The sequence below is a fragment of the Homo sapiens genome, chromosome 4 (genome assembly GCF_000001405.40).
Source record: "Homo sapiens chromosome 4, GRCh38.p14 Primary Assembly".
Classification (NCBI taxonomy): Eukaryota; Metazoa; Chordata; class Mammalia; order Primates; family Hominidae; genus Homo; species Homo sapiens.
This window is the reverse complement of record NC_000004.12, coordinates 1,960,055-1,975,824: the sequence shown is the minus strand read 5'-3', so window position 1 is coordinate 1,975,824 and position 15,770 is coordinate 1,960,055. Positions and strand designations below refer to the sequence as shown.

General features: G+C 47.5%; 1 protein-coding gene and 1 non-coding gene across 20 annotated transcripts in view; both read right to left on the bottom strand.

Annotated features, from left to right (window-relative positions):
• Positions 1 to 15,770, bottom strand: part of NSD2 (nuclear receptor binding SET domain protein 2) — a 110,800-nt gene that overhangs the window by 6,368 nt on the left and 88,662 nt on the right. For 17 of the 19 annotated variants that reach the window (NM_001440892.1, XM_047416141.1, XM_047416137.1 and 14 more), the window contains 3 exons: positions 14,674 to 14,790; positions 821 to 962; positions 425 to 531 (listed from right to left, as the gene is read on the bottom strand). In NM_001440892.1, the coding sequence (NP_001427821.1) occupies positions 425 to 531; positions 821 to 962; positions 14,674 to 14,790 (366 nt within the window). The remainder of the gene's footprint in view (positions 1 to 424; positions 532 to 820; positions 963 to 14,673; positions 14,791 to 15,770) is intronic. The other 2 variants (NM_001440894.1, NM_001440898.1) reach the window with 1 other exon arrangement.
• Positions 1,065 to 1,189, bottom strand: SCARNA22 (small Cajal body-specific RNA 22). Its single transcript, NR_003004.1, has one exon.

The following is a 15,770-nucleotide window of genomic DNA, read 5'->3' as shown; positions in this document are numbered from 1 at the left end:
CCAGTGCTCTTATAAGAAGGGCAAGTCAACAGTCATGTTCGCAGGGAGAATGGTTGGGCGGTGCTGCTACAAGCCAAGGAGCAGCAAGGACTGTGGCCGCCACCAGGAACGGGAGACAGGCCTGGGAAAGAGCCTCCCAAGGAACCTTCAGAGGGCGCACGGCCCTGCCCACACCCAGAACTGCGAAACCACGCGTCTGTGAGGCATTGTTCTGGCAGCCCCAGGAAACACGTTCAGTGAGGAACTCTTAACCACTGGCCTTTGTTGAGAGCCATCCTCCCCAGCCCACAGCAGGGAACTTGCTCCCACCTGTCCCGGCAACAAGCCAGCCTGGAGGAAGCCGCTGTTCACGGGGGACACAGGTCTCCAGGAGTGCAAAATGCCAACACAGAGCCTGGGGGGAAGGAGGGCGCCACAGCCTTACCTTTGGTCTATCCCCGAGGAATCCACTGCAATTGGAGGCTCCACACCGGCAGACCGTTTTTTCATTGCCCAGACAATCGAGGTTGTAGTTAAAAGTCAGCTCCGTCCCTGGGAGAAGAGGAGACAGACACCAAATTGGAAACACCTGCCTTTCTCTTCAAAAGCTAAGGGGCGTGTATTAGGTCAACAAAAATACTCTTATTATTTTTGTATCTGTACTGGCTTGACCCATGGCCTTTCAATTTTGCTTGGTAAAAGAGATATTCAAACCAAAAGAGACTCCACATCAGCACCCACCTCCCCCAGAGCCTTTCCAGTCCAGCCCCACGCAGCCCTCAGCGATGGCCACTCTGCCCCCATAGCCAGGAGCCCCATGCAGGGTCCCCAGAGCTTGTACCTGCAGGAATGTCACAGACGGCAAACAGGCCCACACGAGTGTCCCCATTCACTGTCCACTTGAGGGTCTCACAGTTGGGCTGGCAGCTGTGATTCATAAATCGAGAGTAGTTTCCTTTGGGGCCAGCGTCTATTATACGGTCCTGTAAGGTCAAGTGATATATTCGGTCAAGTGTTAGCAATCGCATGTTATTTTTAAAGGGAATTTTCACCATCATAAAGCACATTGAACAAGTTGTGTTCCTTGTTGTACTGAAAACCGTGGTGTCCTGTGTCCACTGAGACAGGACACCCCCAAACCAGTCCTGTTTCTCTTGCTCACAGAGGACAGGTCAGGACCACGTGGAGAGGACCGAGCCTTAGTGAGCGCCGGGGAGGACAGGACAGGGAGCTGGAGCTCCCAGCATCCTCCATGATGGCAAACAAGGGAGCTAAGGTCAGCAGCAACAGCCTAGCCAAGTGGCACTCAAGGACAAGAACAAGACTCACCCTGGCTGGGCGCAGTGGCTCACGCCTGTAATCCCAGCACTTTGGGAGGCTGAAGCAGGCAGATCACCTGAGGTCAGGAATTTGAGACCAGACTAGCCAACATGGTGAACCCCCATCTCTACTAAAAATACAAAAAAAATTAGCTGGGCGTGGTGGTGGCTGCCTGTAATCTCAGCTACTCGGGAGGCTGAGGCAGGAGAATCACTTGAACCCGGGAGGCGGAGGTTACAGAGAGTGGAGATCGCGCCACTGCACTCCAGCCTGGGCAACAAAAGCAAAACTCCGTCTCAAAAAAAAAAAAGACTCACCCAACCGAAAACCAGCAAAGGATGCAAAGAAACAATTCCCAAAGAGCAAATCCAGGCAGAGGTGGAGAAATGCAGATCCGAGTGACAGTGAGCTCTGACTTTGCACCCATGGCGCTGATGTGGCGTTGGCTGAGATGAGGGGTGGCTGCAGGGCCGGCAGGAAGGCTTTCGAGGCAGCAACCTGATAAGGGCCACGGGAATCACAAATGCAAGCACGATGTGGCCTAGAACTGACCCACTCAAATCCAGGTGCCTGGAGGCCAAAGGCAGGAACTGGAGACAACATCTCCACCCAGCAGCAGGGAATGGACGGCCCCGGCCTCCACCTGAGGAGCCGCCAGATCCACCGCACAACCGCGTGGGGAGAAATCAAAAGGCCACATAAAGCGTAACAGTCACGTGTTCAAACAAAACCACGTGTGTGAACAGGGATAAACACTGGGATAAACATGGTCCCAGGAAGCGGCAGGCTTCGGAGTCACTATTCACACGCGGCCTCTGACACAACTGCCCACGCACCCAGCCCTGGTGCAATCTCCCAGGGTGCCCCTGTCTGGGACCGCTGGCCCCGTGTCCTTTCTACATACCCACACAGGCCACCCTTTAAAACCAGAAATGGTACCAGAATGTGGTTCTCTGCAAGATGCTTTTCACAATAATAAAATGCACTAATCAACCCAGAGTGCCACTCTTCAACACAGAAGTGGGGGTGCTCATCTGCCCTCTGCAGATGCTTTGTCATGACGCGCTGAGCCGCGGTGCTGATGTGCACGTTGGCATGCACACCACTTCTGCAGGGCCCTGGGGACGAGGACAGCACGGGGCATGCACATGGGACATGCCACCAATGCCAACAGGACAACCCAGCCTCTGACGCCTGGCAGCACCGTGTCTAACCTACATTCCTACCATTACCAGCGGGGCCCAGTGCCACTTCCTTCTTATCGGGCCAGTTTTCATCTGTGGGTTGCCCGCCATGTCTTGACCCTGTTTTATTTATCTTAACTGACTTACAGATGTTCCCTAGATATTCCAAACATCAGACCCCTTTATAACAATATGTCGGCCGGGCGCGGTGGCTCACACCTATAATCCCAGTACTTTGGGAGGCCAAGGATCACTTGAGGCCAGGAGTTCGAAACCAGCCTGGCCAACATGGTGAAACTGTCTCTAATAAAAATACAAAAAATTATCCAGCTATGGTGGTGGGCACCGGTAATCCCAGTTACTCGGGAGGCTGAGGCAGGAGAATGGCTTGAACCTGTGAGGCAGAGGGTGCAGTGAGCTGAGATTGTGCCACTGAACTCCAGCCTAGGCGACAGAGTGAGACTCCGTCTCCAAAAAGAAAAAAAAATGTGTCAAAAACTTTCCCATAGCTTCCCAGCTCCCAATGGAATCTTCCGTGCACAATGTCTTTTCTCACAAAGCTGCCTCCGCCTTATGCAACTATTTTACCCTTTTGCTTCATGCGTTTTCGGTTTGCTGAGTAGTTGCATGCAGCTTTTCCCACCACACAGATTATAAAATGCATCTCCCCCACTCCTAGCTGTTCAATCCATCTGGAATTGGCCTTTATAAGTGGTGTGAGGGGAGGCATCAGTGCGTGGTACGTGGGCTGCCCGGCCCTGGCTTTGGCCCCACTCCCCCTGGCCATCCGCCTGGGTTTGGGCCCCGCTGGAGTCACAGGAATGCCATGGGGAACACTGTCACCCCCAGGACACGCCCACCCTTCCCACAGTAAGGCTTCAAGATAAAGCACTGGCTAGACCTGCAGATCTTTCCTTCTACATGGACTTTGAAATTGCCTGTCCAGGTATATTTAAACGTTTTTGCTATTTTTATCGCACCTACAACGAGCTTGCACTGGGGAAGATTTCCACCCTCACAGCCTCTCCTTTCCCAGCTGAGACATAGCCTGTACCGCCACTCATCCATATCATCTCTTGTGTCCGTCAGTGACACTGCCGAACTTTCCACAGAAGCCTGCTCCATTCAATACACGCATCAATGCTCTTTGTGGCTCTGCATACATGAGGAGGGCAGGGGAAAACCTGTGGACCTGGCCTCTCACTGTTGTCACTACAGTTCACATAAGGCCATCACCAAACACAGCCGTCACATTCTCCGAGAGACACTGTTTGCCTCTTGCTGCTCTGCTGTTTCTGCCCTGCCTGCATCACCCAGCACCCGCAGCCTTGGGGGTACAGGAGCGGCGTGAGCGTCCTGCCTTATTTCTGAACCGGCCACAAGTGTCTGGCTCACTGAGCATCAGCTGGCAGCCGCTGATGTCTTTTAGCAAGCTAAGCATACTTGTAGTCCTGGTTTCTTGGGAAGTTTTCATCAGGAATAGGTTTGAATTTTCTCAAATGATTTTCTGGTGTTCATGAAAATGACTCTGGATTTGTTTTCCTCCTTTACCTGATAGGGTTGTTAAGCCCTCCTTGCAGTCCTGGGGTAAACCCCACTCGGTCACAAGGAACTGCTCTCCATGCTTTTCAGGTGCACCCCACCGGCTGGCACACACCCTCACAGGTCCCAGGTCCCCTCCTCCCATGTTCACATACAGGTCCACGCCCTGGCTCGGACCTCACGCCTCAGTACATGTGCCTCTGAAAAGTACACGGCACTATTGTGGGCTCGTAAGAAGAGATTTATTTATTTCTATTGTTTCTGTTCTCTAAGTCTCTGCTTGGTCTCTAAACACTTCCTCCAGTGTATTCTGTCCTTCTTTTCGACAGTGCTGAATTCATGCTCATCATCTGTCCAGGATCTCTGCCTTCAATTAAGAGGTGAACTCACCGTCAGCTGTATTCACTGGCCTTTCTCCTGGATCCCATAGGCCAGTGGGAAGGCCCTAAATTTAGGGTGCATCTCATCCCCAGTGGTGGCTCTGGTGTCAAAAAAGCCTTCTTCTGTGTCACTGAAAGTGGTAGGGCCTGAATTCTGCCTTGTCTGAGAACAACTCCTTTCTTCGACTTCACCTTGGCATACCTTTGGCCACAATTTTTTTTTAATTGAGACAGGGTCTCCCTATGTTGCCCAGGCTGGTCTCGAACTCCAGAGCTCAAGCAATCCACCCGCCTCAGCCTCCCAAAGTGCTGGGATTACTGGCATGAGCCACTGCACCCGGCCTGCCCACAATTTTATTTTTAACCTTCCAGAATCTCTTTGTTCCTTGCATGCTGCAGAGAATTCGGTTTTATGATCCAATCTGGAAGTCCTTTAAAAAGTAAGCGAGCCCATTTTCCTCTTTCCAGATATGCTGGCCACAGTCAGAACACATTCATGTCTTGCTTGTTTCTATGGGCTTTCAGCCTTTCACTGTGAGGCAGAGGAGCTGCTTGATTTCCTGCTGTTGGGGACTCCGTCCTGTCCTGTTGGCGGCCCTTTATGTGACCCGTCAGCCTGCATGCCCACATGTAATGTCCCGGACATTACATGTCCCTGCTTGTGCACACTGAAATCAGCCTGGACCCCCTCCCTCAACCGCCCCTAGAGCCCAGCTCTCATCAGTAGCATTATCTTCATGCTCTCCTTTGCTCCTGAACACACCTCAGCTTCTGCTCCCACCTGACTCAGCGGCTCTGGCTCGCCGGTGTTGGGGGTGAACTTACCCTCCTTTCTCCCTGCTCCTCCCACTGCCCCTTCTGGTGGGGGCAACATTCTGAGTACGCATCACTCCTTCTGGCACACTCACCCCCGGCAGCTGCCACTGCCCAACTTGTTGCTGGAGCTTCACCTGATTCTGCTGGAGGCCTGGAGCTCATCTCTCAGCAGCTGACTCAGGAAGGACATGTTCCTTTAATTCTCTATGCTCCAACCTGCATCTCTGTAGCTGTTACACCCAGAGAGCCACATGCCTGGATAGACACCCCTGGCTCGTTCTGAGGAGCCCACCCTGTCCCGAGCACTGGGTCCTGCTGTGAACAGCCTCCACTTGGCCCTATTTCTCCCCTTAGAAGCAATTTAGGCTTTTTGTTTTGTTTTTTTGCCTGGGTATCTACAGGATTCTTGGTTGCGTCCAGTAATCCTACTTACGACGTCGCCCAATGTGACTCAGCCCCGCTGAACCATCCTCTGGCCTGCTTGAATGCACAGTGCCTCTCCTCAGCAGCCCCTGCCCAAGGCGTCACTCGCATCCTTCTCTTTCTTTCCTACATTCCTTCTTTCTCTCTTTCCCAGGTTCTTTCAGCTGCACTCTGCTCACTCCCCACATCCACCTTCGTGCCGTTCTTGTGGTTCCTACTCTCTAGTGTGTTCCTTGAGGTTTAGGCTTTGCTTAGAAAATAATTTTCTTTTCCTTGTTTCACTCCTGAGTTCTACAAGTTCCCAATCCTAGCTCTCCTTTCTGCCTGGCTATCTCTGAATCCTCATATTCAAAAAATCTGTGAATATTAGAGTATAACTTTTATCTACTTTGTGATAAAAATTTTTCTAAGTGGCTTTTCTCCATCTGTAAGGAAGTTCTGCTGTTTTGGGTCAGGATTTTGTTTTTGTTTGTTTTAGAGACAGAATCTGTTGCCCAGGCTGGAGCACAATTGTACAGGACCTTGGCTTACTGCGCGCCTTGGCCTCCTGGGCTCAAGCGATACTCCCACCTCAGCCTCCTGAGTAGCTGGGACAACAGGCACATGCCACTGTGCCCAGCTATTTTTTTTTTTTTTTTTAGTAGAGACAAGGCCTTGCTGTGTTGCCCAGGCTGGTCTCAAACTCCAGGCTGGGCTCAAGCGGTTCTCCTGCCTCGGCCTCCCAAAGTGCTGGGATTATAGGCACACGCCATTGCACCTGGCTGGGGTTTTCTTACATAACCTTTTCATTGTTTTCTGAAGAAGTCGGATTTCTTGGAGCGGGTACTGGCTGGGTCCCAGGTTTGTCTCACTGCTGTCGGCTTGATGGAGGTCTCCTCACCACAGAACCCAAGTCTCTGTGGGCCCTCAGAGCCTCAGGTCCCTTTCTCTCTGCCTTCCAGCATGTTGCCTTCCTTTTGGAAGGTGATCCTTTCAAAGATGTGTCATCTCTTCTTCCCAGGAGCTCCCCATGCCTTCTTTTCCCACTGCTCCCTTTCAACTCTCAGCGCCGCTGGGGGCAGGCCCCAGGTGCTGGCTCTGCCTGCCAGGCCGCACTCCCGTGTCTCTGCACCCCCTGTGTCCGGGTGACACTGCAGGTCTCCAGTACTTTCCTCTGCCTGTTGGACTTTCAGTGGATGGGTCTGTTTGTCCCACAGTTTCAGTGAAGATGTACTTTGTGTACATTTTTTGTTCTGGAAGTGAGCAGCTGCCATCTGCTACCAGAATCCTATGTATAGATTTGTTTGGCTGTGAATCACATTCTCTTAGTTTTTTCTTTGAACACTACCTTTAGGATCTTTCCAACTGTCGGACGTGCATCTAATCTAGTTCTTCCTCTCCATGCTGTCTCCTGTGTCTCCTCCACCCCAATAACTACAAACATTAAGGCCTGTGGGAGCCTTTCCTTGTTGTTACTATGTACTGACCCTAATGTGAATCTTAGTCTTAACTTATACATTTAAACCACTTACATATATTGTGATTATTGACATTTTGATTTTTTTTTAATCTGTGCTTTCTAATTACTATTATTTCTCCTTCCCCCATCTTCCTCCCGCAGGTTCTACTAAATTGACTTTTCTTCATTCTCCTTTTTACCCTTTAATGGTGTGGAAGTTACACCTTCCACTTCTATTCATTTAGCAGTTTCCCATGTAGACGTCACATGTATACTTTAACAAAGTCTAAGGTTAATAAATCTCTTCCCTCCACCCTCACAGAACAAGCAGCTCACCCTGGCGTCACCACGCTCCCGGTGCTCCCTGTGACCATTAGTGTTCAATGCCTCCTCCTTTTCATCTTCCTTCCTGCCTCGCAGTCATCATCATCCATCATAATTTGACACAACCTGACTTATTTAAGACATATCCACATACCCACAAACTTGTCTGTTCACTGTTACTTCTTGGATCTCACATTTAACTTCTGACATTCAATGTTCTTCTTCCTAAAATATCTCATTATTTCATTCAGCTAAATTATACTGATGGTCAGCTCTCTCCATCTTTGTCTGAAGTCACAGATAAGCAGAGCACTAGAATGCAAGGTCTAGGGTTATTTTCCCTGGTGTGTAATTCTTTTAATATGCTGCCAATTTGGTTTGCAAGTACAGATGCTCCACTTGAACCTGGCCCAATTTCTCTCCCAGATAGTATCAAAGAACTGAAATTTCCCAGATAACCCATCTTGACAATAAGACACCAGACTGACCACGTGCTGCCTGTTGACCAACTCCCTTTCCTTATCCCTCCCTAATTCCTGTTTTCCCACACATGGTTACAATGAGATGCCAGACCCCTCATCCAACCACCTGCTGCCTGTTGACCAACTCCTGTATAACCACTTGAGTTGGCTGGGAAGATGGATTTGAGGCTGGTCTCGTCTGATGTCACCCACATGAAAGCCTTTCTTCTCTGGCAACACTGACTGTGTCAGAGATGGGCTTTCCCTGCAGCGAGAAAGCAGACCTAGGCTGAAACCTCAGTGTCTGGCAACACTCTTACAATGGGGCTATGTCCCAGTAAACCCACTGTTAAGTTGGAAATATCTTTTTTTTTTTTTTTGAGACAAAGTCTCGCTCTGTTGCCTGGGCTGGAGTGCAACAGCATGATCTCGGCTCACTGAAACCTCTGCCTCCCAGGTTCAAGCGATTCTCCTGCCTCAGCCTACTGAGTAGCTGGGATTATGGGCGCCCGCCACCACGCCCAGCTAATTTTTGTATTTTTAGTAGAGACAGGGTTTCACCATATTGGCCAGGCTGGTCTCGAACTCCTGACCTTGTGATCTGCCGGCCTCGGCCTCCCAAAGTGCTGGGATTACAGGCATGAGCCACCGTGCCCGGCCTCTCAGGAGATTTTTAATTACTGAGTCAATCTCTCTACTAGTTATAAGTCTATTCAGATTTTCCATTTTTTTCATGATTTAGTCTTGGTAGTTTGTGTTTCTAGGAATTTGTCTATTTCATCTCAGTTATCCAATTTACTGGAGTACAGTTGTTCACAGTACTGTCTTATAATCCTTTTTTATTTCTGTAGAAGCAGTAATAATGTCTTCACACACCCAGTTCTGATTTTAGTTATGTGAGTCTTTTCTCTTTTTTTCCTAGTCCATCTAGTTAAAGGTTTGTCAATTTTATTGATCTTTTTAAAAAACAAACTTTTGGTTTCATTGATTTTCTCCAGTTTTCCAATTCTCTATATAATGTTATAACTTGATTATATTAAGTTTAACTTCAATAACATAAAAACCCTGCCCCTTTACAGCTCTGTCCCCATCCTTTTCAGTTGCTCATATCACAAAATCACATCTTTATGTATTGAGTGCCCTAAAACACAAGCCAGTAATTCATGAGTAAAACTAGTAATACATGAGTAGCTTAAATTATATAGAAAACAAAATGTTAGAATTTACAAACTAAATTACAATACCAGCTTTTAAACTAGTAATTGTTTTTTAAATGTATGTCTCTTTTTTTTTTTTTTTTTGAGACAGAGTCTTGCTCTGTCACCCAGGCTGGAGTGCACTGGCACGATCTTGGCTCACTGCAAGTTCCGCCTCCCGGGTTCACGCCATTCTCCTGCCTCAGCCTCCCTAGTAGCTGGGATTACAGGCGCCTGCCACCACGCCCGGCTAATTTTTTTGTATTTTTAGTAGAGATGGGGTTTCACCGTGTTAACCAGGATGATCTCGATCTCCTGACCTGGTGATCCACCCATCTCAGCCTCCCAAAGCGCTGGAATTACAGGCGTGAGCCACCATGCCCAGCCCTATCTCTTCAATCATGCAGACAACAAACAAACAAATGGAGTTATAAACCACGGTTACAACAATACAAACTTTTATAGCTGACCATGTATTTACTTTGAGATCTTTCTTCTTCATACAACTTGTAGTGACTGTATGGTATCCTTTCATTTCAACCTACAAGACTTCTCTCCATTACCTCTCTTGACCATTACTTGCAAGGCAGGTCTAGTGCTAAAAAACTTCTTCAGCTTTTGTTTATCTGGGAATGTCTTAATTTCACCCTTATCTTTGAAAGACAGTTTTACTGCATACAAGTCTTGGTTAACATTTTTTTTTCTTCTTTTAGCATTGGCCCACTGCCTGTAGGCCTTCAAAATTCCTGATGAGAAATTTGCTGATAATCTCATTGAGAATCCCTTGTGATATGATTTAGCTTTGTGTCCCCACCCAAATCGCATCTTGAATTGTAATCCTCAGGTGTTAAGGGAGGAACCTGGTGGGAAGTGACTGGATTATGGGAGGGTTTCCTCCATGCCATCTCATGACAGTGAGTGAGTTCTCTCAAGATCTGATGGTTTTATAAATGGTAGTTTTTCCTGGGCTCTCACACACTTCTCTCTCCTGCCGCCATGTGCAAAGGTACCCTTCACCTTCACCGTGATGGTAAGTTTCTTGAGGCCTCCCCTGTTATGTGGAACTGTGAGTCATCAATTAAACCTCTTTCCTTTATAAATTACCCAGTCTTGGGTAGTATCTCTAGAGCAGTGTAAAAATAGACTAATACACCTTGCATGTAATGAGTAGCTTTCCTCTTGCGGTTTTCAAGATTCTTTTTCTGGTTTTCGAAAGTTTGATCATCTGGAGTTTATTGAGCTTCTTTAGATGTTTATATTTGTGTGTTTCATCAAACCTGGGAATTTTTCAGCCATTATTTTTTCAAAGTTGTCTCTGCCTCTTTCTCTCTTCACCATCTGGGACTCCCACAATAGATATATTGGTCTGCTTGGTGGTAGCCCACATACCCCTTATGATCCGTTCACTTTTCTTCAATCTTCTTTTCTGTTTCTCAGGCTCAACAATTCCTTTTTTTGTTTGTTTCTCTTTATAGGTTTTCTATCTCTTCATTGATACTGCCATTTTGTTCATGCATGATTTTCTTGACTTTCTGCAGGTTTTCCTTTAGTTTTCTCAGCATCTTTAAGGCAGATGTTTTAGAGTCTCTGTCTAGTAGATCTATCATCTGGCCTTTCTTTTAGGGATAGTTTCTGCTGATTTTGTTTTCCCTTTAAATGGCCATATTTTCCTGTCTCTTTGTAGGCTTTTTTTTTTTTTTTTTTTTTTTTGCTGAACACTGGACATGTTAAGTCTAATAATGTGGTAACTCTAGAAATTAGATTCTTCCTCCCCTTGCCCTAGGTTTGCTGTTTTTGTTATTTTTATTTATTGTTCTTGTTTTGATTGTTGCAGGCTGTTTCTGTGCAGAGGATCAACCCAAGATGGAAATTTAAGGTCTTTCCAGATCTTTTTTGAGCTGTACCTTTCCCTGAGCATGCAGTCACTGTCTAATTTTCTAAATTTTCTTATTTTCCCCATAGTTGTTTTTGAATTTCCTAGTCTTTTAATGTCTGGCTCCCAAAAGGGGAAAAAGAGAAAAATGAAAGAGGGGGGCAATTGGTGCTGGCCCTTTAAATACTCTTGAAGATACTTCAGCTGGAGGGGGAGGGGCTTGTAACGACTGAGGGAGGTGTGATAACAACGGCAGCGCAGCGCACCTCTTTGTCTGCACCTCTGTGATCAGAAGCAGCAATCAGGGATCCTGAGCACAGATACCCACTATTTGGAGAAAAGGATCCTTCTTGCTCACCCTGAACCCCTCAAGCTGTGTGCGAGGTGCTCCAAGAACATGTGCATGGCTGTCTGTGGGGCATGGGTAGCCGCTGCTGTGCCAAGAGCTGAAACCAAAATTAACCCCAATTTGCCATCCAAGCCTCCCCTGGAAGTTGCAAGCCTTCAGTAGCTTCCAGAGTTCCAAAATGGTTACATCAGACAGGTCCTTCTGGTGCAACTGTGGTCTAGGTGGGGACACAGCTTCCTGCTCTGCCATTATCCCAGGATCCTCTCAATGACTCTATTTTAACCTCCGCTGCTGTTTGTTCGTATTTGTCTGATTTACCCTCCATATCTCATTCTTTTCTTGTGGCGTCTAAAGCTCTATTCATGGCTTTAACCATTTCTAATACACTTAGTTCACATTCTCCTTTAAATGTAGTCTTGTTACCTCAGGTCCTCGCTAAAAGCAAAGCCTTCCATTAGGAAGGTCTGCTCACGAGGGTCACCTTCTATTGCGCTTTGTAAACGTTTAAGTAGGGCTCCTTTTCAAATTTTTGTTTTGTTTAGAGACCGGGTTCCCATTCCGTCCCCCAGGCTGGAATATATTGACATGATCATAGTTCACAGCAGTCTTAAACTCCTGGGCTCAAGCAGTCCTCCTGCCTCAGCCTCCTGAGTAGCTGGAATCACAGGCACGGCTAATTTTTTTTCTTTTTTGTAGAGATGAGGGTCTGTGTTACCCAGGCTGGTCTCAAACTCCTGGCTTCAAGTGACCCTCCCAACTCGGCCTTCCAAAGTGCTGGGATTACAGGCGTGGGCCACTGTGCCCAGCTTGTTTTTTGTTTTCATAGGAAATATATGAGGTATGAATTGCTTAAATGTCTCTCATGTGTCACAGGCTTTATCTTTGCCTCAATCAGGTACCTCAGGTGGATTACCATGTCAGGAACCAACTTGTGGATTAAATGCTCAACCTGGCATTTCTTTTTTACTAATCAAAAGCAAACTGCAGTATCCACTTGGCATTTCTTACAGCACATAAGTAGTTTACATTTAGACTCCAAAACATAAGGCACAGACCTAGGGCTTCGATGTCTAACAAATAACCTCCCTGCCCTCCTCCCCAGATACAACAGAGAAGCATATTTGCTGCCTCTTGGGGCAAGTTTATTAGTCCCTTCCCTAGGGCTAAAACCCTCCCAGGGGTCTACACAGGGTACTCAACTCCAGTTGGCCACCAAGCCTTTGAGCAAGACTTATCACTGGTCCCCACATGAGGGTTAAAACACAAGCTCCTGCCTGCTCTACACGCCATGGTCCTAGAGGCGCTGTGTACAAACCCACTCTCGCCCTTATGGACCTGCTTCCCATCTTGCCTTTTTGCTCCAGCCCTGCAAAGCTTTCCTATTTACTTAGCAAGCTCAGGCCCCTTATCTGTCATCCTATGAGGGTGTTGCTGAAGAGTCACTGGGGCTTGTTCTTTCTCTCTCGTTGTGTATTCTTGGTTTTCTGTTCATTTTGCACTTCAGAATCCCTGTTCCAATGTCATAGGGTATGCCAGAGCCCACCTCCTAGAGAAGACCTGTGTTGACAGGGCCCTGAGAGGAATGTGCTGCTAGCTTATCCCCTGGGTGGTGCGCCCTGACAGAGCATGTAGGAGGAAGCGCTACCCACCTCTCTAGCTCTAGGGCTATTTCAAGACAATTCTTTTATTTAAAAAAATTTCATCAGCCAGGTGTGGTGGCATGTTCCTGTAGTCCCAGATACTCAGGAGGCCAAGGTGAGAGGATTGCTTAGGCCCAGGAGATCGAGGCTGCAGTGAACTATGACTGTGCTACTGCACTCCACCCTGGGTGATAGAGACCCTGTCTCAAAAAAGAAAAATAACAACAAAACCTAGGAGTAAAAAAATTTCAAACCTAAGAAAAAAATGGAAGAATACTATAACGAACATCAGTATACCCTTCACTCATTCAGTATTAACGTTTTACCACATTTGCTTTTTCTATTTATGGATATATGTATACACACACAAATTTTTTCCCGATCCTTTGAAAGTAAGTTACGAATATCTGACATCTGACCCTAAACACATCACAAGTCATTCTCTTGCGCAGCCACAACACTTTCCATACCTATGAAATTTAGCATGAAGAACAGCCTCCTGTCCAAATTAAAATTTTTCCCACTGCCCCCAAAAGCATACTTTATAGCTCCTCATCCCAGATTCAGGCTCTGATCAAGAAGCACACACCTCCTCTGGGTACTTCTTTAGTCTCTTTTAACCCAGGATTCTTTTTGTCCTTCATGACACTGACTTCTTTGAAAGGTGTAAGCCCCACGACCTGTGATTGACACAGAGCCCAGTGCTCCCCCGGAGCAGGCTCCACTGGCCACTGCTGCCCCACTACTGCAGGGGTAGGGGATATAGCTTCCCCAGGGGCCACCTGACAAGGTTCCTGGAACCATTCTTATTTCCATAGCAGCCCTTTCTCTCTAGGTCTCATCACATCTGTCTTCCATGAATTGTTCAACATTTTTTTATCGGTGATCATTTTCTATCTGGTTTTCAAGCACTACTATTAATCTACTCTTTTAAAAATAGCCAGACTTTCCTGCTAGATGATGAGCTTAAGGGCAACAAAAGGCAGAAACATGTATTCTATCTCCCTTCCTTTCAAAGACCACTCAGGCACTAAGGAGGCCACACTTCCCCAGCTGAAGTCATCCAGAAGCCAAAAGCCTGCCGTGTGAGGGAAGGGATGACACGCACCCCCACAGGGCTGTGGCCATTGAAGGAGCCGCCCTGGAAGGGCCCGGCAACACCTGTCAGGATTGGGCATCAGGCCCAGAGCTGAGCACTCCAGATGTACTGTCTTTTATCCATGCCCACTTTTACACAAATCTTCCTATCCTCCTTTTCCTCAGAACATTGATCCCTCTAGCACCTAGGTTCCAAAATGGTTAGAAATATGGGCTGCATACAAGCAACAACCAAGCAAAAACGATTCTGCTACACAACAGAGAAGATGCTGAGACCTTACCCAAAGAGCACTGAAAATTAAAAAATAAAATACAATCACTTTTTAAAAACAAAAGAAGATGCTGAGACTTCCTCATCTGTGTCCTCTCTACTTCCCTGCCCTGTACTAAGGCTGCTGGGAACGCTCTGCATGCACACCCGGACAAGCAGAGCCTCAGGGTGCCTGGGTGCTGAGAGGTGGTTAGCTCTAGCCCTCCGGCGCAGCTGAAAGACACGCTGCACCTCAGAAGAAAATGTGCAGATGTTTGAAAATAAGCAGCTAAGGAGACAAATGCTGGCGCTGCCACAGGGCAAAGTCCAGTTCTACAGGTGACCATCAGGGCTCCAGGTCCAGCACACTGCAGAAGCTCACAGTGGAGTTCCGCATTACCTTGTCTATAGTGAGCATGTAGAAGTGGGTGATGTCGTTCTCGTGTGCGTGCTTGATTCTCGCCATGCACTCCTCCTCGTCGATCAGCTCCCCAACGTACTCGTTAACAAATTCTCCCTGGAAATCACAAGCATGTGGCCATGACAAAAAGCGTGCTGACCAATCCTCAGTGTCGGGGCTCAAGACTCCCCATCATGATCACTTAGAACGGGCACCACACACATCAGCATACCTCCGTGGAGGGCGTGTACAAAGTCTCCATAAATTAAATTCAAAGGATCTCAGACATATCTGTATGTAAAGGTTGCCAATGAAAAATGTATTAAGTATTCACGAAGTGGCAATATGCCAACCCTTGCTTCCTACACGACCTTGTCTCAGGAGCGCTGTCTGATAACCAAGCTTCTACATAACCCACTTTACACGGTGATCCCCACAACAGAGAAAATGGCTACAAAGTATCTGACAGGATGTAAAGCAAGAGTCTGGGTGAATCAGCAGTCAGGCAGGCGAGGAACAAGGGTGCTGGGGAGGTGTTTCTAAGCAACCTTTTGTGCTGTTGCTGGAACTGGCACCAGGCTTATGAACTCTCTGTGCTGGGTCAGCCCTGGTATGGACCTGGGTCATGCCAAAATACATCAGGGTCAGCAGTTCTACATGTCTCTCAGTCCCTGGATGTCCTTGGGACACAGTCTGGGAGCAGAGGCAGGAGGTCAACTGTCCTGGTGTCTACCAACGACTTGGTCCTAGACTGTGCCAGGACCACCCCTCACAAGAGCAATCTCCTTACGCCTGCTGGTGAGTGCTCCCAAGCACCTGGCTACTAGCCCAGAGGAAAGTGGGTCACTTCACAGATCTTCCATTTCATAAAAATAACCATCAGAATTCTGACATAAGGCATGTTTTAAGGGAATGTGTGAGTTATAGCAGATACCTTTCATGTAACATTTTAAAATATTCAATTGTAATAATTCAATTCAAAAAAATATTTCAGGTCAGGCACAGAGGCTCTTGCCTAAAATCCCATTGCTTTGGGAGGCCTAGGCAGGAGGATGGTTTGGGGCCAGGAGTTCGAAATGAGCCTGGGCAACACAGCA